Genomic DNA, 17,250 nt, shown 5'->3' on the forward strand with positions numbered 1-17,250 from the left:
TTCTTATAGTACAGTTACATACATTTGGGAATTAGAATGGATTTTTAATTGGTTTCTGATCCAAGTTTTAATCATTTTGCAGGAAAGAAGCCAGGACTCTTACAACATATGAATACTCATCTATTATGTATAATATCATTTAAGTGGATTTTGCCCCAAATCTTTGTGGATGTGCATAATTGAAGAAAAAGATAATGTTATTACTTCTCGGTAAATTAATTGACGGTTTCTCCTTTAAGATTGGTCAACAATCTGAGTACTATGAGCAACACTTCTTCTATAGATTCTGTTCTCCTTTAGAAAACAAAATTCACGTCTTCTGTTGTAGAATTAAATCTTTGACAGTTCTTAATGTTGAGAAAAATAAAAATATCCTCACGAAAGTCAACATTCTTTAATATTATTGAGAAAAGAGTATACATTCACATTTTATTAAAACTACGGTCCACTGCTATAAGTGTCATGAAGTTAACATATACCTAGTAAAGTTTGTAAAAAATAATCAGAAATAAGCTTTAGTGAAAAAATCCACATGTTGAATTTTGCTGTTTCTCACATTACCTTAAAGTGTTTTTCCAAATTCTAGCTTAGCCAAATCATAAGGAAACTGAAATAGAAATCCTTTGAGTGACTACTACATACTTTAAATTATGGATATCATGTTGTAAAACATCTGGCTCATTCTTGTGCTGTCATGATTTTCCAAAATAAAACATTTGCTGTTTAGATGTTGTCATTTAAAAAGACCCTTAATGATTAGTCAACTGATTTGCTTTAGTTGATTTCAAAGTATATGCTAATTGACAACATTGATGATGACACAATACTTAAAAATCCCATACAAGTTGTCCACTGAACAATTTGGTCATTTCCTTATTCATTTCCTTATTAATGCTCACAGAAGCATAGTTATCATTTTTTTTTTAGTGAGTCACAGAATGGGAATTAATTTATTTTAATCCAATGTTCCGTTTTCCTTATTTTGCTCTATCAGTTTTGTGAGCCCAAAGAAATAAAGTTGACCACAGCAAAAGCAGTGCTGGGGAAGAGGCCAGTTTATAGGATAACTGCAATACCTTTTACTTGGAAATATGTTTGAAGATCACCTGAAAGTTTAATTGACACAGGATGGGACAGCACATCTAGGAAAAATGGATGCCATTCAGACAATCGTTCTTCCGATTTTGATCTGACTATCTGTTCGCTTTGCGGTGTATATCAAATTGTTGAATTAAATTTCAAAAACATCACAGGTCTACAGGGAATCATTAGTTCCCCCAAGTACTTTCGAGAGTTGACTGTAGCTCTTTTACTTCCCTGCTGTAATGACAGGAAACGTGGTCTGAATTTATTGCTATCTCCCACCTCTCTTAGAGACCATTGTTCATTTCACTCATCCATTTTCCTTCCTGAATAAATGTCAATAGGAAAAATTGGTTTTGATAAACTATATTTTATAGTTTGATAAACTATATATGCTTTCTTTTTCACCTTCTTATTGACAACATTTGTCCGATTATATTAGCAGGTTCCAGGACTAAGTTTAACAATTATTGTTAAGAGTTTTTGTAGGGAAAAATGGTATTTCTTGTAGATATATTAGTAGTTGATAATTTATGTAAAAATTTAGTGTTTGTGATAGGCACTTTTTTAAAACTTTTCATTTGAAAATATGAACATCATCCATTTCCCCATCTAATCATGTCTTTCCTGAAGCATATATTTTTAAAGTAGCTCTTAAAACTTGCAACATGTGATGTAGCTATAATTATTTTAATCTGCATGAAAAATAATAGGATAAAAATTAAAGTATCAGTGTAATTTTGATGTTAGAACTAATAACATTGCACATTTGTTTTGTTAGTGAAATATGTGCTCAAATGATATAAGAATAATATTAGGTAAATATGGAAAAGTAGTTCTATGAAGAATACATTTTTTAAAAATCTTAGTTCATCAATGCAGTGAAAGCAAATACAGAATTCTCTAGATTCTCCCATTAAATTATAACAGTATTCAGAATTCTTTCAATATATGGTGGAAGAAGCAAAAGCTGATATTAATAGAATATTATGCCTTTTCTCAGAAAAACATTATACTTTCATAGAATGTGGACTCATATATATGTATATGGAGAATTTTGTTCAATGTGCTCAATATCTATTGCAGTATCTGGCAAAGAGTGAGTGCTTAATTTTTACTGAAGCACTTAATTAGAAAATGGCAAATATATGTCAGTATCAGTATTTTCACCATAGATACTTTCATTATATAGTAATCACAGTAGTGCATATATAACTGCCACTGTCTGATTCTGACTTGTACTTTCAAAGTTAGAATAATAAAGCTCTGCCAGGTAACCCATTTTCAAAAGCAAACTTTGGCAAAACTTTGGAATACAAAAAAGAAGATGGAGAGAAACTTGCCTTTCCAGGAAGAATGGCAAAGATGTGGTGAGATGCCCTCTTAGAGCCAGTATGTTAATACGCTAATAAAAGTAGAAAAGACTTACTAGAACTATTTGAAATATCAAAAAGTAACACATCACTGTATGTGAGAAAATTCTCAAAAAGTTACAGAACCTAACATCATATAGGTGATGCTGCAATGTAAAAACACACACACACACAGAAAAAGGAGACTGATAGCAAATACAAGAATTTCTGTGTCAGAATTAACACAAACTGGTGTTTTGAGCTTAGGAAAGTCACAGACTCTCTGTGCCTCAGTATCCTTTTCTCTGTCATAAATATTTTGATATTGAAATTGGTGACTTCATAGGTTAACTCAGACCTATAGAATGTCACGTTCATTTAGAATATGGGACAGCAAATTGTAAAGATGTCTGTCCACCTGCTACTCATTTGGCAAACAGTGCATATCCCAGGGAGCAGAACCCAGCGCAAGCAAGCTGTCCTACCATTATCAATTAAGGGCTTGAAGTCAAGAATGAGTCCCAAGCCACTGGTTTGCCAAGGAGTCTGCAAAATCTTGCTAGAACTTTGACTTTCAATTCTGGTTCTTGCAACTGCACTATTAAAGAACCTTGGCCTCTTCTTAGAGTAGACCAGGTCCGTCCACCAGGAATAGTTGCTAAGAGTTATGGGTTGGCCAGGGTTACTCTACATGAGAAGTGTATGGGGGTTTACTCACACACACCAAGTGCTTGGCTGGGCTTCTGGAATTGCCTACCTGTCAGGATAAGTTTTACTGTTACCAGCAGCAACCTAGCAACTAGGCTAAAAGTAATCACTAGCGTGGTGTGGTTTATAGGTTTTGTGTGGGAAAAAAATCCTCAAAATTATGAGTTACTTCCATTCTATTAGAATGTTGATGAAGACAGAGTGTCAAGGAGGGTTAATGGCATTTGTTTCAGGGAAAAGAAAAACGTTATTAGCAGATCCCAGCAATTTTAATAGACTCTATTGTCTATTGCCTCTATTGTTGATTGCCATCTGCTAAAATAGAGACTTTATTAAGTATAGCTTCTTTTACTGAAGATATCCCTGATTACTTCGGTGGATTTCTAAAAAATTTCTCCTCCATCCTCCTTGTGGGAAGTCTCAGGAAAAAAAAAGATTCAATATGATTCAAATAGGCTCTGCCAGAGAATCAATCTCTATCCTCTCTCTGTCTCTAGCTAGCTAGCTAATTAATCAATATTCCCAGAAAAAAGTCCTTAAACTTCTACCAGAATATGAGGTAAGAATAACAGCCTTGGAGGAGTCATAGAAAAAAATGTCTGAATAGAGTCAAAATTCACGTAACACAAATTCCCTTGGTTAGCATGGCAAATGTATAGGCTTATGCCTACGTGAAGAATTGAGCTAATGGCACTAGAGAATACTATTCAGGTAACTCACGGTGAGATGATTTCCCTTCAGTGGCCTGGCCTATATGCTATGCTATCTATCTTACAAACACTTACTGAGTGCATGTTCTATGCATAGTATTGGACCAGATACTGTAGTGTTGTATAAGATTCTTGAGAAATTGTTTTCATGGTCAAACTTTTAGAAGGGATGCATACTGTATAGATTATCCCTTCCCCCCATACTTTCATAAATACACATACTTTGTTGATTCACCAAGCATGCACTGTAATAAGGGTCTGATTACTCCTATGGGAAAGAAGTCTGTTCGCTTTGATTTAACTTGATATTACCTAATCATTTTTTCATCCATAGAACCCTTTCTTGAGTTATTACTTATTAAGATACAGTGGAACTAGTTCTGCCAAAACCCCATTTGGAAAAAGAAAACTCCCACTCTAGATGATGAGTATGTGAAGATCAGGATGTTATACCATACAACCACCAAGGTATCACCAACCTGTTCCTGAATACTTCTACAACTTTACAAGGCAGCCTGTTCCATCTTTGGACAGCTTTATAACAATATTCCTCTCTCTATTAAGCTGAAATATACGTTCTTAGGACTAGGTTATATGCTTAAATTTATTCGGCCTAAGATCCCCTTTGGCTTTCCTTTCCCACTGTTCTATCACATTGTGTGTTGTGTGTTGTGTGTGTGTGTGTGTGTGTGTGTGTGTAAAGAGAGAAGTGAAACAGAAGGAGATTATTGTTGCTAAAAACTCTATGTTATCTCCATATTTGGAATGTTTTTGGTTGGTGTAGGCAGTGGTTCTCAAATTTTAATATGCATAGAAATAACTTGGAGGCCTGAAAGCTTGTTAAAAGTTCCCCAAGTCCCATCCCCAGAGATTCTGATTTAGTTGGATGGGGTAGGACCTACAAATTTAAATTTCTAGTGAGCTCATAGGTGATACCAATGCTGCCAGTCAGAGGACCATACTTTGGGTAACACTGCGGTCTTGGGTACACTGTTGCTCTGCCAAGACCTCATGCCCTAGCTGGTTGGAATATTGACTACTAACAGCTCACAGCTGCCTCCCTCCCTGGAAATTGCCTTCAGCTGTAGGTAACAATCTTACTCCAGTCTGCTCTTTCCCATGGGGTGACCCAGGACCATTAACTCTCTAGTATTGGGTTCAAAGGTCCAGATCCCTTGCTTCAATTCAGCGTGTCTCTAAAGGGCCATGCAATTTCCAGAACTCCCCTGAAAATCTGATGAGGCCGCAACGCACTGCAGGCTTCACTGCACTTCTTCGTCTGTGCAATCTTGCCTATCTTACAACCTTACACATGTATCTCATGGGAACACTCCTCAACAAACCTTATGCACACAACTCTCTATCTTAGTCTATTTCCAGGGAGCCCAGTCTAAGTTAGATGGGTTTTTTGTTTCATGTTTCTTTTGAACCCACATGTAGCACCTTGCATTTACATTACATCTTTCAGTATTCAGCCTACCAGTCCAACTTGTTGAAAACTTTTTGGCTCCTGATACTCTTGTCTGCTATATTTGCTATTTCTCCCTGCTTTGTGGCATTGATTTGATAAGAATGTTATCTATGTCTTCATCCAAGCCACTGATGAAAATATTGAAAAGGACAGAGCTGAGATTAGATTACCGGGAATAGCTGCCTGAAACCTCCTTCCAAATTGATAGGTATCCATTAGACAGCAGTGAAGGGAGCATAGGCCTCAGAGTTGCAGATTTGGGATGGAACAACAGTTCCGTTTAAGCAGAGGTCAAAAGCTAGACTCACAGCTAAAGAGAACAATGCCATTTTAGCATTTCTATTTTAATAGGAAACTTAAGTATCACTTATATAACACATTTCAACAAAACATATCTCACTATAAAAACATAAAATCATAAATAATCATTATGAATTTATGATTATTATTCATCTAATTTGTCCCAGCATGAAAACTGTATTTGGTCATTTCATGGAGGGTTTTTTCGTTTACACATTTTAAAAAAGAGGTTGTGATAAAGTTGAAGTTCAACAGCTACCCCAACTTCACTAGGACATTTAAAATACTGGCAATATAAAAGAAAAAGGCAATCCATCAGTAATTGTATGAGCGGCCATAAGTTTAAGCAACGTAGGTTATTATCTACAAAGGTGATTGAATTTGGTTCACCTGATTTGCTTTAATTGCTCTGTGGCATAAACACACTGACTGGACACAGAGTGATGTAATGAGTATCATAATTAGGAATTTGATAAAGCTAAGTGTGAAACTGACTATTAGAAGATATTTGAAACACACAACTACTGCTTTGAATGGGGAATTGATTTCCTAGTTAATTTAAATAATTTTCATCTCTTTCTATGAATACTGATGACAGACGGAATGACCACAGCATAAAACATTGGCTGGAAGAATGTCACTATGTACTTCAAGAAATTATTTCCCCCATGTTTTTTATTGAAAAGATAAACACCTGTCCATTTCCTTCCTAATAAAAATGTGGTAAGATTTTTTTAAATGAAAAAATAAAACTATCTGAAAATGCTTTTAACTGTTAATAAACAGGGAGTAAGTAAAATAAAAATAGGCAAAAATATATTTGCAAAAATATGATAGAAGGAATTGCTAAGAATGTTGAGAATGATTCTTTATTTGTAAATTTTTGATAGTTTCTACAATAAGAATCACTTGTACTAAAGGAAAGAAGTTATTTCAAAATATAGAAGAAACATCCAAACACAGAAAAATGGTAGATAAAATACCAAAATAGAAAATCAAAAAGGCACAATCTGGGCTTAGAAACAAGTTAAGTAGCTCTGTGTTTCAGAAATGCCACAAAAACACACAGTGGTGCACGGGGCTGCAGACATAGGGCTTTTGGGGCCTGGGCTGGGAAGTAGGTAGCAGTAGCCAGGAGTTCAGATTCTGCTGGGCTCAAGAATCTATAAACACTCGGTATAAGACAAAGGACCTGAGCCAGGCTCTTTGCTGCAATTAGTCAAGGATGATATCAGGTTTCCCTACGGGGTGAAAGGGAGCTGCAAAAAAAAAAAAAAAAAAAAAAAAAAAAAAAAAAAAAAAAAAAAAAATCTGCTATTGATCACAACCTAGAACTGATTAAATGACATCCCTTTTTAGGGGGAAATTGGAAAGATTAGATTTCATAAAACTCATTAATACCTATATGTCCAAACATTTTTAATATAAGAAATCATTTGAATTAATGATTTAGAGAAAGGAAACAGATCCCTGTTACATACTGAATAAAGCCAAAGGATCCCAAAACTATAAGATTTCTAGAATTGTGCAGAAAAAAATTAAGTCAAGTGATGATTATATTCATTTATTAAAAAAACTCAACTTTCTAAAAATAAATCTACCTAAATTCTATTTTTATTGAATGTTTTAAAGAAGTCTTTCTGAGAATGATACAGATAGAAATAAAATGAAAATATAAATATAATTGAAAAGTAACATGATGGGTATTGTAGCTAACATTAATGGTTCAATTAAACCAAATAAGAAAAACTTTCTCCCATTTGCTTTAATATTTGATACTGTAATATTAAATTTATGAACAAAAAACAGTCTGTTGGTATCCTATAATTTTTTATTAGGAAACAATGGTAAGTTTTCGATAATACTATTGTTTTTCCTGGGAAAACTGATACATAGGAGCATTTCTAAGCATATATTTTGGTGCGTTGGTTCAGCCCAGTTCAGGACTGTAGGACTGGGTTAGAATGAAAATGGCTACTTGGCTACATCACCAGGTAATTTTCCACACCAGTAAATCACCAATGACATGGTTCCAAATGTCTCCCTTTGTGTGCAATCCCTGCAAGCTAGAAACATTCTAATTACTTGAAAGGAGATGACATAAAATGAAGCAGGCTGTTACCACTATGAACCTTTTAGATCCATATGGATCATGACACTCTCTGGCCCGGAGCCCCAAGATTTCACATCATAGATGTTATATTACCCTACTGTAGAATGCAGAGAATTTTTTTTTTTTTTTGAGACAAAGTCTTGCTCTGTCGCCCAGGCTGTAGTGCAGTGGCACAATCTCAGCTCACTTAAACCTCCGAAGAGTTCTTATGCTTCATAATCAGTTGGGAAGATTTGGGTCTCAGCAATATAAAAATGGGATTGTCTTGTAACTATACATATGACTCTCTCCTGAAGAGCCGAAAGACACATTTTCATACTGCTAAGTGTACCTAAAGGAGTTGATAATGGATTGAATTTTTTAACATACCAAATCCTCTCAGTCCTTAAAATGGACTACAAGGTACATTTCGCATAAGAGGAATTTAAAATAGGGTATTCAAAATTGAGAGGGTTGAACTGGTGGCTTTGGGGTCATTTGTAGCTTTAAATTTAATTTAATTTTAAGAGATGGAGTCTCACTACGTCACCCAGGCTGGAGTACACTGGCATGATCATAGCTCACTGCAGCCTTGAACTGAACTCCTAGGTTCAAGAAATCCTCTTGCCTCAGCTTCCCAAGTAGCTGGGACTACAAACTTGGCTTTTTTTTTTTTTTTTTTATGTTTTGTAGAAATGGTATCTCACTATGTTGCCCAGGCTGGTCTCAAACTCTTGGCCTCTAGTGATCCTCCCACCCCCACCTCGGCCTCCCAAAGTGCTGGGATTATGGGGACATGTCCCACCAGGAACTTTAATATTTTAAATAAAATGTGCCACATATATATTATGAGCAGGCCCCAATGTAATAAAGGTTGTATTTTAAACAAATATCCCGCTAGCATTCTATCATATTTTTGTACATAGCTTTGAAGGCAGCAAATCTTTATCCTTTAAATTTTTGGAAATAATCCAAAGCCATTCAGTGCCCAACATCTGATGAATTGTTTCATTCAATTACAAACAATTATTGAGTACAATTACTCAGCAAATAAAAGGTATGGCTATAAAATAATATAACAGTCTGCTGAGGATCATAAAACAGTCCTTAAGTAGTTCCAGAAAAGGAACTCTAAAATTATATTGCCAAGGGACGGTATTTGTAGATACAGCATATAAGACTCTTATGAAGTTCTAATGCTTGTCCCTCTCCTAAATAAACAAACAAATGAACAAGCAAAAATGTATAACACTATTTGCTTTTCTTCCCAGGAAAATGTTTTACTTTTTCATTTGTTTTTACTTTCAGAAAAATTTGAGAATGCTTTTGGAAACATGTCATACATGTAAATATCATGCATCAAGTCTCAGGAGGGTAAAAAAAAAGCACTGGAATCAAAGGGAAGCAAGAAGATTCATTTCAAGGAAGACAGATCCAAGGCTGTTGTGAATGTCAAATGAGCGTAAAGACTTGATAACTGGCAGAATAGAGAAAAGTTGGTTACAATCTCCCAGAAATCTACAAAGGATGAAGAGGCTTTAGGATGAGGTGACAATAGGGATAAAGAGAGGGAATTGTTTCTAGAGCAATTTTTGAAGTAGAATTCACAGAATTTGGAAGCCAGTTTAATACATGTGTCAGTAGATTGGGAAAGAGAGATCAAGAGAAAGGTAGAAGGTAATTCTTAGGTTTCCAGTTTTAGAGACAATTAAGTTAGACAATTACACTACACTGAAAACACAGAAAATTTAACTTTCTTTTAGGGGCAAGATAATGCATTCTACTTGACACATTTTGCAGCCTGTAGCATATCCAGGTGGTAATGTAGGTTAGGTGGCAGAAAGTACAGTTCTGGAGATCAGGAGAAGAGTGTAAGATGGAAGTTGACACTGAGGAGTCTTAATGTTAACTGAAGCCAACAGACAAAGCTACTCAAAATGTGCAGAGAGAAAGAAGAGAGACAATTAAGAATGGAACATCAACATTTAAAATTGCATTGAAGACAGAGAACTTGCACTGATCATTGTTACAACTCCCAACTTTGTATCTTGAGCTACTCCCCATAACTTAAGATTCATATATCCAGCTATCTACTCCACACATCTCCTAGATGTATAATAGGCATTTCAAATGTAACATATCCACATCTTCCTCCCAAAATATGTTACTCCTGGAGCCTTCCCCATCTCAGTAAATGATGACCCCATCTTTCCGTTGCTCAGGCTAAAAATTCTTGAGTCTTCTTGACTCTTTCTCTCACACCTAAATTTATTCCATTATAAAATCTGTTGTGCTCTGTACCCAAAATATAGTAGAATCCAACCACTCCTCACCACATTCACCTCTCCCATTCTGATCCCAGCCACAGTCATCTCTTGACTGAATTATGACAACAGTTTCCTAATGGTCTCACTACTTCTGTTTAGTCTATTGTAACAGAGGAGCCAGATAAGACAAAACATGTCACTCCTCCATTCAAAACCCTCCAATAACTCCCATCTCATTCAGATTAAAAGCTAAAGTCCACAGGCCTAAAAGGCCAATATAATCAGATGCCAGTTACCCCTCTAAATTTATTGTCAACTACCTTCCTGCTCGCTTGATCCTTTTCTGCCTAACTGATCTCCCTTTTAAGGTTCCTTCAACATGCCAAGAATATTCCTGCTTTGGGGCATTTTAACTTATTAGGACTCTCCTGGACTACTTTTTCCCCCCCAATTATACATATGGCCCACATCCTCAGGTCTTTTAGAATTTGCTTAAATGCCACCTTTTCAGTAAGACCTTTTTTGATTACCACATTTTCATGGCAGCACTCCTCTTCCACCTCCCTCTCTCTCTCCACTTGTTTTCCTCTTTGTTCTTCCACACTGTGTGTATGACCATCTGACACATCATGTATTTAATTTTTATTTGTCAATGTCTGTCTTCCAACTTCTGCTTCCAAGAATATAAGCTTTATGAGGGTAGGGCTTTTCATTGCTCTATACCAAGTACCAATTACTGGGCCTACCTAGCACAAACTTCATACAAAAGTATTTGTTGAGTAAGTAAATTAATTTTTATGGTGTCGATGGCAGATGATATTTTACTGAGTTCTTACTACGCACTAGGCATTGTGCCAAGCACCTCACAATTATTATATGATTAGAGAAATGAGATATTCAAGATAATATTGTTCTGGGAACCAAGGAGGATAAAGTTTTGATTAGCAGAGTTGACCAACAGGATCAATGTTAAAATATAGTCAAGAAGATGGACGAATTAAAATACACTAATTAGCTATTACAAAGTCACTGATGATCTTAGTAAGTCCTTGTTTTCATAAAGTGGTGGTGCTGGGGAAGTGAGACTGGAGTGGGTCAAAGTACAACTAGTAGCTAAAGAACAGGAAACAGTAATGCCAACTACTGCTTAAAAATGATATAGTAAGCAGAAGCAAGTACAGCTGGATAGAAAAAAAATGATATACTAAAAAAGTTCTCTTAGGATGAGGGAGACTTGAGTATGTTGGCCTGCTAAAGGGGAGGAGCAAAAAGAAAGAAGAAATTGAATATCCCAAAAAAAGGAAAGTAGAATAATTACTAAAACAACATGTTGGAGAATGTAAAAGAGATCTAGTGTTTAACTAGAGTAGCTCCTTGCTACACACAAAATAGGGCTCAATTGTTTTCTCTTTTCTTGTTGCAATGAAGATGAGAAAGGACCTAGGAATAGAGAAGCAAAGAGTGACTTACAAGTGCCTTCAAGGTTGTCAAAGACGGAGAAAACAGGTCAAAATGTTTTCAGATGATCAACTATTAATTTTGATCATTAAAATACAAAACAGTATTATAAAGAACAGAGAATACTGAGATGTTATGGAAGAAAATGTGTTTGTATGTATATGCATGCATATGCATATACACGTATATGTATATATGTACACACATACATGTACACACATGTACATGCTGAATCTTTCTTAGAACCTAGAGGGATTTTTTAGTATCTGGGAGCTTAGCTAAGGAACTTCTAGGCATGTTTAACCCTCTGATGCAAGGACCATCTCCTCTGCTTGATGAGTTTGTACCTGGCTAGTTGGCAGTTGTGGAAGCCCTCATACAGCTACAAGCAGACAATTCAGAGTTAATGCTTATTTCTTGTTTAAAGAGTGATCCTGGAACAGAAATAAGGAAATGAAATCTCATGACAGTGTCATCATAAAGTCATCAGCCAGATGGCAGTCCTTGAAATCTAATCCTTAGAGGCTTCTCACAATAATTTGTAATATCACATCTAATATTATCTTATTCACAAACTCATATCTATTCACAGAGATTGAAGACAAAGAAATGAACTTGCAGAGGCTCACATTTCTGGCTTTATATGTTATCATGGACTCTGTAAGGACTACGATAAGGAAAACAACATATTTTCCTACATAGGTCACAACAATAATCTATGTTCAGATCTGGGTTTCTAAACTGTACAATTTAGTTGAGAAGCAGCCTTCTCTTTTTTCCATAGATAGATTAGTTCCTTTTAAGCATAAATGCCTATTTATATTTATTCTATATAAAATGGCAAGTAAAAATGATCATATCAAAAGCCACTGTAGAATTTGAAGACTCATCTGATGTATTAATAAACTTAAACAGCAAAATATAAACATTAGTTTACTTTTTTATTATGTCTTGAAACTGCAACATGGCAGTGTCTGATATCAAAGCAAATTTCTTTCAAGTACATTTTATATCTTATTTAACATTCAACAGTTTAAAACTAAAGATTTTATTACTAATTTAAATATTCTTCCAAGTGTACAAAAATTTTGCCTAGGTTTCTCCATGTGACTGAAAGTCTCAGTGCAGGCAATGCATTAGTGTTTCATAGTAAAATGGTGTCTAACCTGAACTGTGAGAAATGATGTAATCAGAAAACTTTCCACAGAATCCCTCCTACCTAAAAAGCTATAGTTACAGAACTTTTTCAAAGATATGAGATACTTTTTCTCCATAACCCAAATATTGACATTATTAATCTTTCCTTTTTAAGATGAGTTTAATATAACAACAAAAGTGAAAATGCCATCCTGTCATAGTTGTAGTTTTTGAGACCAACACAAATACCATGGAATACTACGTAGCCATAAAAAAAGAATGAGATCATGTCCTTTGCAGGGACATAGATGGATCTGGAGGCCATTGTCCTTATCAAACTAATACAGGAACAAAAAACCAAATACCCCATGTTCTCATTTATAAGTGGGAGCTAAATGATGAGAACACATGGACACGTAGAGGGGAACAACACATGCTAGGGACTATTAGAGTGTGGAGGGTGGGAGGAGCGAGAGGATCAGGAAAGTCAACTAACGGGTACCAGGATTAATACCTAGGTGATGAAATAATCTGTACAACAGACCCCCATGACACAAGTTTACCTATGTAACAAACCTGCACATGTACCCCTGAACTTAAAAGTGAAAAAATAAAAATAAAAATAAAAAAGAAAATGTATAAATAGAAAAAATCAGGCAGAAACAAGTAAATGCATTACAACAAGCCACTGTGTAGAGACAACACTTTTTATTTATAAATAGAGGCAATAAGATTTTTGAAGTAGCACAGTAAATAATTATTATAAATGTACCCTAAACTGCTTAACCCATTTATGCCTAAGGTTGCAATTTTTTGAATTTTTGCAATCAGACCTTGGTGAGGACCTTGAACAGTAGAATATAAATAATTCCCACATGCTTAGTATTCCAATAATGGAACACTAGGATAAATAGCTAAAGTGAACATAGACAAAGATGATCTAGAGCAGGACTATCAGTAAAACTTTCTGTGATTGGTGGTTACCTGATGCTGGGAAGGGTAGGGGGTGAGGGGATGAACTTGATTCGATTTTGCAGGCTCAGAGATGGAAGGGAATTTGCCTCACGATGAATTGTGCCTTGAGTCTCACCCATATCTAATTTATATTAGATTGCACTTTTGAGTTTATGCTGAAATAAGATTTTTGGGGCTTTGGGGATGAAATGAATGTATTTTGTCTTTGAGAAGAACAAGAATTTTGGGGAAAAGGGGGCAGAATGCTATGGTTTAATGTTTTTCCCTTCCCAAACTTATGGTAAAATTTAATTGCCATTGCAACAGTAGTAAATGTGACCTTGAAGAGGTGATTAGGACATGAAGGCTCTGCCTTCATGAACGGATTAGCATCATTATTGTGGGAGTGAGTTTCATATAAGGACAAGTTTGGCCCCATTTTTTCTCTCTTTTGGTCTTCCACCTTCCATCATGGAATCATGACACAACAAGAAGGCCCTTACCAGATTCCAGCCCCTTGATCTTGGACTTCGCAGCCTCCAGAACTATGAGCCAACAAATCCCTGTTCATTATAAATTACCCAGTCTGTGGTATTTTGTTACGGAAGCACGAAAAGGACTAAGACAAGGACAACAGAAGTAGGTTGCATTTGGAGAAAGAGATTGGAAGAAGGCAAAGATGAGTTTAGCTTTGGACCTCTTCAATGTGAAGTTCCTGTGGGACATTAACATCGAAAGAAAGCAGCAGGATCTACATGTCTAAAACTCAAAAGATCATTCTCAGCTGGAATTATAGATGGGTAGTCATCAACAGACTGAAACTACACAAGTGGATGAATTCTTGCAAAGAGTACATGTGAAGTGAGAAAAGAACAGGGAAGAACTTTATAGACATGAGTCAGAAGTAGCTTGGTGAATTGCAGATTCTGTACAGGCTAAAAATGTGAGTTGGCTTCTAAAATTCTCATTTACTTTACCCATAGGGGAAGTAAGTATATGCATTCCTTAGCTGATAGCTTTTTGGAACCAAGCCAAAAAATATAAACTGGAAGTCATTCCCATGAAGAATCCAGAGACCTTGATAAAACAATTTTTTAAAAAACTGAGAGAGTGGCTTGGGCCATCAAGGAGCATGAGAATGAAGAGAGGGGTCTGTCAGAAAGAGTAGTATAGATAGACTAGATCAGTGTCCTCAAGCTCTAGTTTCATACCATGAGCAAGCTTTTTTCTTGGCCCCTTAGTTTATATTACCTAAACTCATCAAATTAATCTCTGACTTTAATTTGCTTTCCCCAAAAGACTTCTCTTTGAGAAGCAGATATTTCCCACTAAGATCTAATGGTTGACTCTCTGATACCAATTGATTCCATGTGAATAATTCTTCCTGAACCTAATCTGTCCCTGTTTAATTGAACACATATAAGATCTGTATTTTGAGAAGAAAGTCCAAGCCTTGCCATTGAGAAAAAGTAGTTACTATGAGAATTTTTCCAAATATCAGCTCCATATTCAAGTTTGCCCTTTCTCCACCAGGGTCTTTTTCATAGGGCTCCAATTAAAACTTCCCAACTTTAGGTTGAATCTTCTTTTCCATGGTCTTTTCCATCTATACACCTACTGTCTGGAATTCAGGATTAGAGTTGCTCTATTCCCCAGGGTGACCAGCTTAAATTCAGCTTCACAGGAGTTTTTACTCTCTAATGTCTAGCTCAGTTTCAAAATTTAGTTGGCCGCTTAATTTCCATATATCATTATCTCATTTCTCCTAAGACTTCCTACTCTTAGTTCAAAATCTGTTTTGGCCCCAGTGGTGACTTTTACTTCTTGTTAAAAATCACCGAGCTTATTTTTTCAGTAATTGATGTCATATTTTGGAACTCAATTATTTTTCACCGTGGTCTTCCTCATATTGTACAGGTGCTATTTTTTCAGCTTGCACAAGGTAATTGTACATTCTGCAAAGGGAGTCATCATTCAAAAAACATTTACTAGCTCCCTATTATATCACGTGGTTCAGGACCTGGGGATGTATCAAATGAGAAAGACAAAATCTCTGCCCTCATGGCATTTAGATTAATTTAAAGGACAAATATTTAACAATTAGTTACATAATTTATATTTTTATTTATGATTGGAATAAATGCTAGTGAAAAAAGCACTAGAGATCAAGAGAGGTATAATAAGGATACAAGGCTTAGTTTGAGGAGATACTGTCTATAAGCGCTGTTAATTTCCATTCATATATAATGGGAAATGAAGTGACGAGTCATATTGCCCTCCACAAATTTTCCCATTGGGTGTGTGGAGTGAGATACTAGGATGAGACCATGTACAGCTATAACTCTATCATGAATCCCAAAGTGACTTATTTATCAGATAACAGGTAAGGCAGTGTGCGCCATGATGAGATAGAAAGATATTCCTTTGGATAGAGTTATCAAAGTAGACTGATAAATGGCTCTTCTAGCTATAAATCAGTATTTTGCTTTTTGTTTAATCTCTTGGTTATGTCACTACTTTTGTGACAGCGGGCAAATGAGATCTTATGTTCCTCGTTTTTAAAATAGAAGTCTGAGCCAAGTCCGTGAGTTTAGTTGGTATTTATCGTCTTGAACCCTCCCAAGCTCCAGTTTAGCTGGATTGGAAAAACAAATCCTCATGGTCCATCCAGTTTCACCACCCCATTATTACAGCCAACAGTAGTTTTAGAAATAATGTAATTCATACCTTTTATGAATGCTTCTCCAAGAGGCATTGATATTCTCTGTTATCATGTGGACTTTTCTGGTATCATCTGCAGAATAATCCCGGAGAAGTTTCAGGGCCAAGTCATTTGCCACATCTACATTTGTCTGCCACTGGCGGAGGTCTTTGGCCAACTGCTATAGATTTTTATGAGAAAGAGAATGAATGTCAGTTTTTTTTATGAAATCTCTAGTTGGAGTGTCTTAAAATACTTCGTAAACAGCTTCTGAATCCTCAGGTCAGAATACATATATTAGATTGCTTTTAACCTACCATATGATTTAGTCAATCATGACAGTATAAGGTAACCCACCTTTCAGGACAAACTTTTCAAATGCAGCATCTTGAGCAATAACCAGTATCAAGTATTTCAACTTAGTAGCAATTAATTGGCAATAAAGTGGGCTTAATTGTTTTTATCACAAGAGAAAAAAACTACAAAAATAAGCTCATATATAATTGTTGAATATGTGACATATAACAACATTTGAACGAAAAAAACCTCATACATTTCTTTCCCTCTTCATTAACTTGTTGAATTGTTTATGTAATTAGTGCCATCTACTGGCGTTCAACTAAACCTGCATACAGAAAATATTGAACAACAAAAGAATAGTACTGTTATTCTAGTCACGAATTTTTTGAAGGATCAAAATACTTTTAGAATACCTTACTTTAAAATTAGAAAAAAAGTCAAAATATAAGAATCTTACTAAACCAAATCACCTACATTTTCTTCGTTGTTTGTCTTTGGCAATTCAGTGTTTTCAAACTTGCTATCTCATCACTTGAAACATATTTCAAAGAAAGAAGTCAATTAATGGTAGGTTTTATCTCGAAGCATATCAACCTGAAATTTCTATTAAACATTTCTGCAAGTGCAGAGAGGAGGCTTCTAAGCATTAAGATAATACTAATTGTTAAGATAGTTATATCAAATTCAATAGGATGGGTTAAGTCATTGATAAATGGA

The 17,250-nt window shown here is 35.5% G+C and overlaps 1 protein-coding gene across 20 annotated transcripts in view; it reads right to left on the minus strand.

Annotated features, from left to right (window-relative positions):
- Positions 1-17,250, minus strand: part of DMD (dystrophin) — a 2,220,167-nt gene that overhangs the window by 522,509 nt on the left and 1,680,408 nt on the right. For all 20 annotated transcript variants that reach the window (XM_006724469.4, NM_000109.4, XM_011545467.2 and 17 more), the window contains 1 exon segment: positions 16,260-16,414. In XM_006724469.4, the coding sequence (XP_006724532.1) occupies positions 16,260-16,414 (155 nt within the window).

Source organism: Homo sapiens, chromosome X, assembly GCF_000001405.40.
Source record: "Homo sapiens chromosome X, GRCh38.p14 Primary Assembly".
Lineage (NCBI taxonomy): Eukaryota > Metazoa > Chordata > Mammalia > Primates > Hominidae > Homo > Homo sapiens.